Consider the following 8,472-nt stretch of genomic DNA (forward strand, 5'->3'; position numbering starts at 1 on the left):
TCCATGACTATATATCTATATGTATATATATATACATATATATATTTGCCCAAGTTTTTGATTATTTTAAGGATAGATTTCCTCTGTGTAATAAAGAGAAAACTATTTTTATTTGTAAATAGTGCCACATGTCTTTGTAATCATGAAAAATTTCAGTGACAGTTCTATACTGCATCTTTTCCCTCTCAGCCAATAGATTATCAAGTTTAGCACATCTGCAAAACGGTTAAATAAAACTTGACAGAGTTCTATTTGTATGGGTGAGTGCAACGATGTCATTTTACCATTGTCTTTTTATGGCTAAAAAATAAAATTAGTTTCTTGTTTTAAAAATCATTTTTATTACTTTACATTCTATAGTCAACAGCAAAAAAAAAAAATCCATTTCTCAGATAAGGGCTGGTTTCCATCTTAGGAAGTAAATAGTAACAACAACTTGATAGAGTGATCAAGAGATATCAACCATCTTTATTTATTGAGGCTCCCAATCTAAACTGGCTAAAGGACACTGGCTCGGTGTATCCCAACCTAAACAGGTCTGTAACTTGAGACTTATTTAAAACTAACAGCGAGGGGCAAAAGTGATATTCTGTGACTTTGGAAGTCAGGTGACAACAAATGTTGTACCTTGTGCTTTTTCTGGTGGACATAAGAAATCTCACTATTCTGGGGCTACCATGCTAGAAAGACAAAATTGGTACTCTGGTAAACAACTCAGCACGGGTCTTAGCCAATGGCCAGCATCCACTGTAAACCTTGTGAGTGCACCATCTTGGATGTCCAATCCAGCGAAGCCTTCAGATGACAGTGGCCTCTAGCAGTATCTAATGCTAACTGTCTGAGAAACCAAAAAGGAAGAACTTCCAAGATAATAAGTCTTTCTCAAAGTCCTAATCTGTATTCATGATTAAAATAAAGTGTTTTTGTAAGTCTCTAAGTTTGGGGATAATTTTTAATGCAGTAACTATCATCAGAACAAACAAATATAAACTTAAAATAAATCTTTATACCTCTATATAAAATTTCAGACTATATACATCTCCGCAAATACACTGAAATATATTATTTCTACCCCTCCTCACTTTTTAAACTCAAGTGGCTTAACACATAACTCTTGCTGGACTAGACCTTAAAGAATATTGATTGATTGATTGATTGATTGATTTTAAGATGGAGCCTGCCTGTGTTGCCCAGGCTGGAGTGCAGTGGCATGATCTCAGCTTACTGCAACCTCTGTCTCCTGGGTTCAAGCGATTCTCCTGCCTCAGCCTCCTGAGTAGCTGGGACTACAGGCACATGCCACCATGCCCAGATAATTTTGGTATTTTTGGTAGAGACGGGATTTCACCATGTTGGCCCGGCTGGTCTTGAACTCCTTACCTCAGGTGATCCACCCACCTCGGCCTCCCAAAGTGCTGGGATTAGAGGCGTTAGCCACGGCGCCTGGCCAAGAATATTTATTTTACTTACTAGCTCAGCTTCATCAAATAATTGTTCAACTTCTGATAATCCCTCCAAGGACAAGTGCTGTCACTTAGTGACATAGTTTTGCCATCTTTGGGTGACTCTCAGTTTCTTCAAAAGTTCTTAGTTTTTATATTGAGCTCCATGTAGCTCTGATCCATTGGCCTTGGTTTTACTGCTCAATTACTTTAAAAAATATACCACCTCATTTGTGTCTAAAATTCAAATTGTTACTGTGACATTTCTCAAAATCATGAGGATATATAAGAGAAATAGAAAGCTTTGTGGGTAAAGCTATAAATAAACTCACCTTCTGTGATTGTAGTTGCTTGCTAACCTATAGTTGTTTTTATTACCGTCCTTGCAACCCAAGTATAAACTAAAGGATCGAAATGCAATATGACTCAACCAAGAAATATCAAATGGAAATATTTATAAATTAAAAAGAAACACACACATACAAACAAAAAAGTAATTCACCAGTTGGTTTCAAAATAGGAGTTCATTGAACATTAATTATTTGCTAGAGTTATGTATGCTTCTTTTATTAAGATTTATCTCAAATTGCTATTTAAAAACCTGCCAGAATCAACTATGAAGTGCATGAATGTGTGAAGGTGACAAAAGTGTGTGTTTTTTTTTTAAATGGTTCCAATGTATAAAACTCCTAAAAATCGCTTTCAGTTAGTGCCTTTTGGAAAATAAGTTAGAAAAACAAGATCAACTAATTTACCATAATTTGAAGAGTGTGCTGACAGGACCATAAATGTTAGTAAAAATTCATATGCATACATGAGAATACAAACCTGGATTTAATTATTTCATACTAAAAGAAGAGATGCACAATTTTATTTATGAAGTTCATATATGAACCCAATGTACTTTTGATAACTCTAAAAGCACTTCATATTGTACTTCCGCAATAATAAGTGCTTAACTACAGAATTTGTAATGACAGTTGGCTAAATGGAAAGTCTCATTGAAGATTACTATTTTCGATCTTCCCTTTTCTGCTCTTCCACGCTTCCCCACCCTGAGATTCCGGTTCATGAGTTCTGAGCTTGGCCCAGGAATCACTATGTCTAGGGAGCACAGTCTGTGATTCCACTGCCAGTGCTACTCTGGTCACCATTTGAGAAAAGACCATAATATATACAGGCAGAATAATTTTCCAAGTCACTTAGTGAGTTTCTTGTTTTTTGGTGGTCAATTTCCAATTTCTAAACCAAAAACCATTATACGTCCTAGTCTTTGTAATGCCACCATTTTTTAAATTAACAATGATAATCATTACTAATTTGAGTGATCTAATTAATCATAAAATGCTGAAAGAAATCTCAGATATGCAGATGTAATTGGGGTAAGGGTTCATATTGCTTATCTAATAAAAAAAACCCTATAGCTTTTATTTTTTTAAAAAACTTTAAATTTTTGGAATGTTTTTAGATTTACACAAAAATTATAAAAATAGTACACAGTGTTCTGACAATACCTCAACCCAGTTTCTTCTATTATCAACATCTTACATTAGTATGGTACATTTGTCACAAACAATGAACCAATGTTAATACATTATTATTAACTAAAGCTCACACTTTATTCATGTTCTCTGTTTTTGCCTAATGTTGTATTTCTGTTCCAGGATCCTATCCAGGATATGACATTAACTTTAGTTGTCATGTCTTCTTAGGCTTTTTTTGGCAATCATAGTTTCTCAGACTTTTTGTTGTTTTTGATGACTTTGAAAGTTTTGAGGAGTATAGGACAGGTAAATTATAGGATGCTCTCTCTTGGAATTTGTCTGATGACTTTCACATGATCAGATTTGGGATACCCATTTTTGGTAGTGATATGGTTTGGCTGTGTCTCCCCCCAAATCTCATTTTGAATTCCCACATATTGTGGAAGGGACCCAGTGGCAGGTAATTGAATCATGGGGCAAGTCTTTCCCATGCTGTTCTCGTGATTGAGAGTAAGCCTCACAAGATCTGATGGTTTAAAAAGAGGAGTTCCCGTGCACAAGCTCTCTCTCTTTGCCTGTTGCCATCCATGTAAGACATGACATGCTCCTCCTTGCCTTCCACCATGATTGTGAGGCTTCACCAGCCATGTGGAACTGTAAGTCCAATTAAACCTTTTTCCTGTATTAATTACCCAGTCTCAGGTATGTCTTTATCAGACTAATACAGGTAGGAAGAGCACAGAGAAAAAGTGCCATCCTCATCACATCTCATCAAGGATACATACTATCAAAATGACTTGTCACTGTGGATGTAATCCTTGATCACCTCACGGAGTCAGTGTTTGTCAGATTTCTCCACTGGAAAGCTACTCTTTTTGATCCTTTCCATGCTGTATGTATTCTTCAGAAGGGAGCCGTTCTATGCAGCCCACTCTTCAGAAGTGCAGCATTATGCTCCATCTCCTCGGGAGCAGGGTATCTACGGAAATCACTTGGAATTTTTATGTCCAGGAGATTTGTCCATTTCCTCTTATTTAATATTTAATGATTTATATCAACATAGGTTCATGGTTTTAAAATATATTTTGGGTTATAATCCAACCTTACTTTATTCATTTTGTTCAAATGACTCTTGCCACTGTGATCATTTGACACGTCTCCATCTCTGTGAATTGTTGGAGGTTTTGTTTTGGTTTTTGAGCACTTTACTTTCTGGCACTACGGGGTGTTCTAGGTTCATCATCTATATTTCCTGCCCCAGTCTTGGAATCAGTCATTTCTCCAAGAAACTAGTTCCTCTCATCAGAGGAAGGTTTTAGAAACTAAGATCTTGGCACTAGATGTGCTGTTTGCTGGTGGAGTGTCACATCTTTTAGGTCCTCTCTGGTGATAAAACAAAGAAATGTATATGTGTATAATTTATGTATAGGCACCGTCTACAAATATTTCTATATGGGACCATTTTTATCTACACTAAACTAAGCATACGCTAATACTGATGTCTCCAATTCTAATCTACTATGACATGGATCTTCTATCTGCTACTCTTTGCTTAACTGTAAATTCCCTCTCTAACAGTAAGAAACCTTGCTCCCACCATCTGCCATCCACTTAGTTGTTCAAGTCCAGCATACATATACATAACATACATGTATATAACATACATGTTTCAGAATTGTTAACCTATACCCCCATGGGAAACCATTTTATCAACTAGAGTATAGAATTTATGTACAGTTCTTTTTGCCATTAGTTAGTCTTACAGACTCCACTCATTTCCAAGGTCAGCATTTTTTACTACAGCTCCCTTCAGTGTGGTTCCTTCATACATTTGTAATACAATTAGATTCTCTTGTTGCATTCTGCATTCCTTCCTGGGATCCCCCCCAACTCTACCCCGGCCTCCTAAATGATCTTTTAAAATTTGCATACATTAAGTTTCCTCTGATTTCTGTAAGTTCTGTGGCTTTTGATAAATGCATAGTAGCATGTACCCATGATTACAGTATCATAAAGAATAGTTTCATCATGGTAAAAATACTTTCTATGCTTTACCTATTCAATCACCCTTGTCCTCTGTTCTCCAAGAAGCCCTGGGAAAAATTGAACTGTAACTGTCTCCATATTTCTGCTTTCTCCAGAACATCCTATAAACTGAGTCATACAATAGGTGGCCTTTTCAGATAAGCTCAGTAAAAGATTTAGCAATATGCATTTAAGGTTCACATATATGTTTGGGTGGCTTGATAATTCATTATTTTTGTTGCTGAATGGCATTCCATTGCATTGGCATACCATAGCTTGTTTATCAGTTCATCTATTAAAGGACATTTTGGTTGATGGAATCTGGTGGTTAAATACCAAGGTACATGGTTGCTAGATTATATGTTGAAGCTATATTTGGCTTTGTATGAAACTGCTAAATTGGCTTCTAAAGTAGTTGTAATGCTTTGCATTCCCACTACTTCTTATTGCTCCACGTCCTTACCATCAATTACTATTATCAATATATTTTATTTTATTTTTTAGACATTGTAAAATAACTATACTGTGGTATCTCATTGTTATTATTTTTTTTTTGAGATGGAGTCTTGCTCTGTCACCCAGGCTGGAATACAGTGGCGCAATCTCGGCTCACTGCAACCTCTGCCTCCTGGGTTCAAGAAATCCTCCTGCCTCAGCCAAGTGTGTGCCACCATGCTTGGCTAATTTTTGTATTTTTAGTGGAGATGAGGTTTCGCCATGTTGGCAAGCTGGTCTCAAACTCCTGACCTCAAGTGATCCACCTGCCTCGGCCTTCCAAAGTGCTGGGATTACAGGCCTGAGCCACCACACTGGGCCTCTCATTGTTATTTTAATTAACATTTTCCTAATGACAAAAGATGTTGAGCATCTTTTCATGTGCTTTTTCTAAGGCTCCTTGTTAAACTTACACAAAAACAAAGGGCAAAACTTTTGCTATAGTTCTGTAGAAGTTTGAGGACTTTTCAACATCTCTCATGGGAGCACTTACCTGTCCTATCTTAAGGCCACTTGTGGCTTAGAGTGAAATTTCTTGACACTAAATTATTTGGTAAAAGATGCTCACTCTTCTAGTATAACCTGCAAAAGCAATTAAGAGTGATGAAAAATGTCACAATTTAATAATAGGTCTGAAAATGATTTACTTATTTAGATAATACAAATATTTTGTTATATAAAGTAGCATCAATATATGCATATTCAAATAATTTTATGCAAATTATTTTTTACACTTCTGATGATTTTTAATTCATTTATGAACAAGGAGCCTTAGAAAATCAGTTTCTTTTAATTGGAAGTGGTTCTTAAAATCTTTAGCATTTCTAAAATTTGTTCATGATTAAAAATCCTAATTAAAGGAGCACAACTTCAACTCAGAACAAATTTAGGGTAATTCTTTTTTCTGTTTTGATTCATAACAATCATTTTTAATTTATTCATTGGATTACTGTTTTCCAGATAGCAGTATTTTGATGACCCTTACACAATTTTTAGCTGTATGTATGTCTCATCTATCCATTTGTTTACTGCACATTTTGTTACATTTTATTAAAATGAGTATATTAAAATAACTTTATATCACTGCCATGCATTTAAAAACATCTCACTTGACATAAGTAGAAAGTAACTATAAAGGTAAATATAATTACAATTAAGTTTTTATGTAAGTAATGCTAAATCTAATCAATTTGCAAAATTGCATACCTAAAATAACATTACTCAATGAGAAAAATGATAATTTTTTGATTAATTCAACAATAAAATCACATTTGGTTGGCATGACGTGAAGATGTAGTTCCTGGAAAAAACATTTTTGCTTTTTTAGAGTTTTTATGTTAACTAAAGAATCAAAACTTTAAGTATTGGATCATAAAGGGTAATAAACAATTACTTAGTCTCTGATACATTAAGATACTGATGATCAATTCCTTAAAAATATGCTACCTTTGCCCTCACATGATAAGAAAAAGTTGCTTATCTACTACTCACCAGTGTCTTCTGAGTTGGAAAATGTTATGAAGACCTTTTTTTTTTCAAATCTTTCCAGTCCCTTTTTATAAGAATCCAAATGATTTTAAAGCAAATTCTTCAAAACAGTTTATAAACAGCCGGAACAACCAAAAGACTCCAACTCAGGCTGATCAGAGATGTATGTATACTCCAAAGTATGTGATTATATCATATTGGCTTTATACAGAGACAAACTTGACTTCTAAGAAAACATACCCAATAGTTAGTGAGATCCCTAATATTCTGGTTCTCAGGATTTTTTCACATGGAGTAGGCTTCAACCTCCCTTGAAGTTAAGCCACGTGACTTGTTTTGGTGAGTGAAATGACGTGGGTTACTCCCGTACTGAAACTATTAAGAGCCAGGGCACAATTCCTTACACTTTCCTTCCTTTCCCCTGGCAATTGGCAATGTTCTGATGGTGGCAATCTGGCATGGCATGTGGGGTTCTAAAATGAAGGCCACCATTGTGGAGCAGAGCCCTGGTCAAACTAAGAAGGTCATATATCATGTTTTCCAAGTCAAAGACAACTGAGAATTGCTTACTGGCAAAGCTTAACATAGCCCATTCTGACTAATGCACACACATTGAGATTTCTCAAATGAGCAGATATATTTGCAAAATTTAATTTGCAAATTTGTGCTCATAAATATTACTGATTAAATATTTCTTTCAGAGGAATATGAAGTTTGCATTATCTAACGTAACACTGAAGACTTTCTGAGTGAAAAGTCAACGTGCTTCAGTCTGGAATAGTAGTTATTTGTAAACATTCTCCATCTCTTCACAAAGCTGAGCATAGTTAAGTATTTAGAGGTCTTCCCTTGATATAAATGATCATTTTAACAGATTTAAAAATACTTCTCCTGAAAACATTGTGCATACCAAATGGGATAAAAACTTCCTTATGTTTTCAACCCAGAATATATTTTTCTTCTGTTGTAACAGCTTAAATGCCTGAAACAGGTTTTCTTAGCATACCAGAGGTGTTCTTAGTGTCAGTGCTTAACCCAGTATATCATTTTTAGTCTGTGTTACTATTTGAGATGAAGCTGTCAATTCAAAATCTATTCTATAGTCATAGATATTTTCAATGTTTGCCTAAAAATTGTCTTCATATAATTCTTTATTCATTCATATTTGAAAAACAACTATTAATAAATATTACTTTGCCATACTTAAGAAAGTAGTCATTTCTTTGGTTTCTGTCAATATCTGTAACACTAAAATAAGCTCACCTTTTTGGATGAAATAATTTTATTAATCATTTTATTTTTTCTGTGTCCAAATATAATTTTTATCATTTTATTTCATAGCAAGTTTACTAAAGATTCTGTCAATATTACAGATTTTCTAGTTTGTATGTTTTAAAGTGACACTATATGTATGTATTCTAATGATTTTTGCATTTGTTCCTTATTGGGGAAAACTTATTCAGATAATTGAATTTTTTTACACTTCATTCCAAATATTTTGATAGATTTTCCTTAGTATTTTGGGTACTTGAAAATTT

General features: G+C 34.6%; 1 long non-coding RNA gene across 1 annotated transcript, besides 1 other annotated feature; it reads right to left on the reverse strand.

Annotated features, from left to right (window-relative positions):
- Positions 1–4,003: 4,003 nt before the first annotated feature.
- LOC105371968 (uncharacterized) lies at positions 4,004–7,146 on the reverse strand. The gene is made up of 3 exons (XR_935109.2): positions 6,938–7,146; positions 5,940–6,028; positions 4,004–4,309 (listed from the first exon to the last, which is right to left on the reverse strand). It is a non-coding gene; the product is annotated as an uncharacterized LOC105371968 (long non-coding RNA).
- Positions 5,503–6,159: an enhancer, noted in NCBI's record as "OCT4-NANOG hESC enhancer chr18:4494750-4495406 (GRCh37/hg19 assembly coordinates)". NCBI's record gives its function as "activates a minimal SCP1, AML or CMV promoter by ChIP-STARR-seq in primed H9 embryonic stem cells {active_cell/tissue: H9 hESC(primed)}" and the evidence as "EXISTENCE:reporter gene assay evidence [ECO:0000049][PMID:30033119]".
- Positions 7,147–8,472: the final 1,326 nt, after the last annotated feature.

Source organism: Homo sapiens, chromosome 18 (assembly GCF_000001405.40).
Source record: "Homo sapiens chromosome 18, GRCh38.p14 Primary Assembly".
Taxonomy (NCBI): Eukaryota; Metazoa; Chordata; class Mammalia; order Primates; family Hominidae; genus Homo; species Homo sapiens.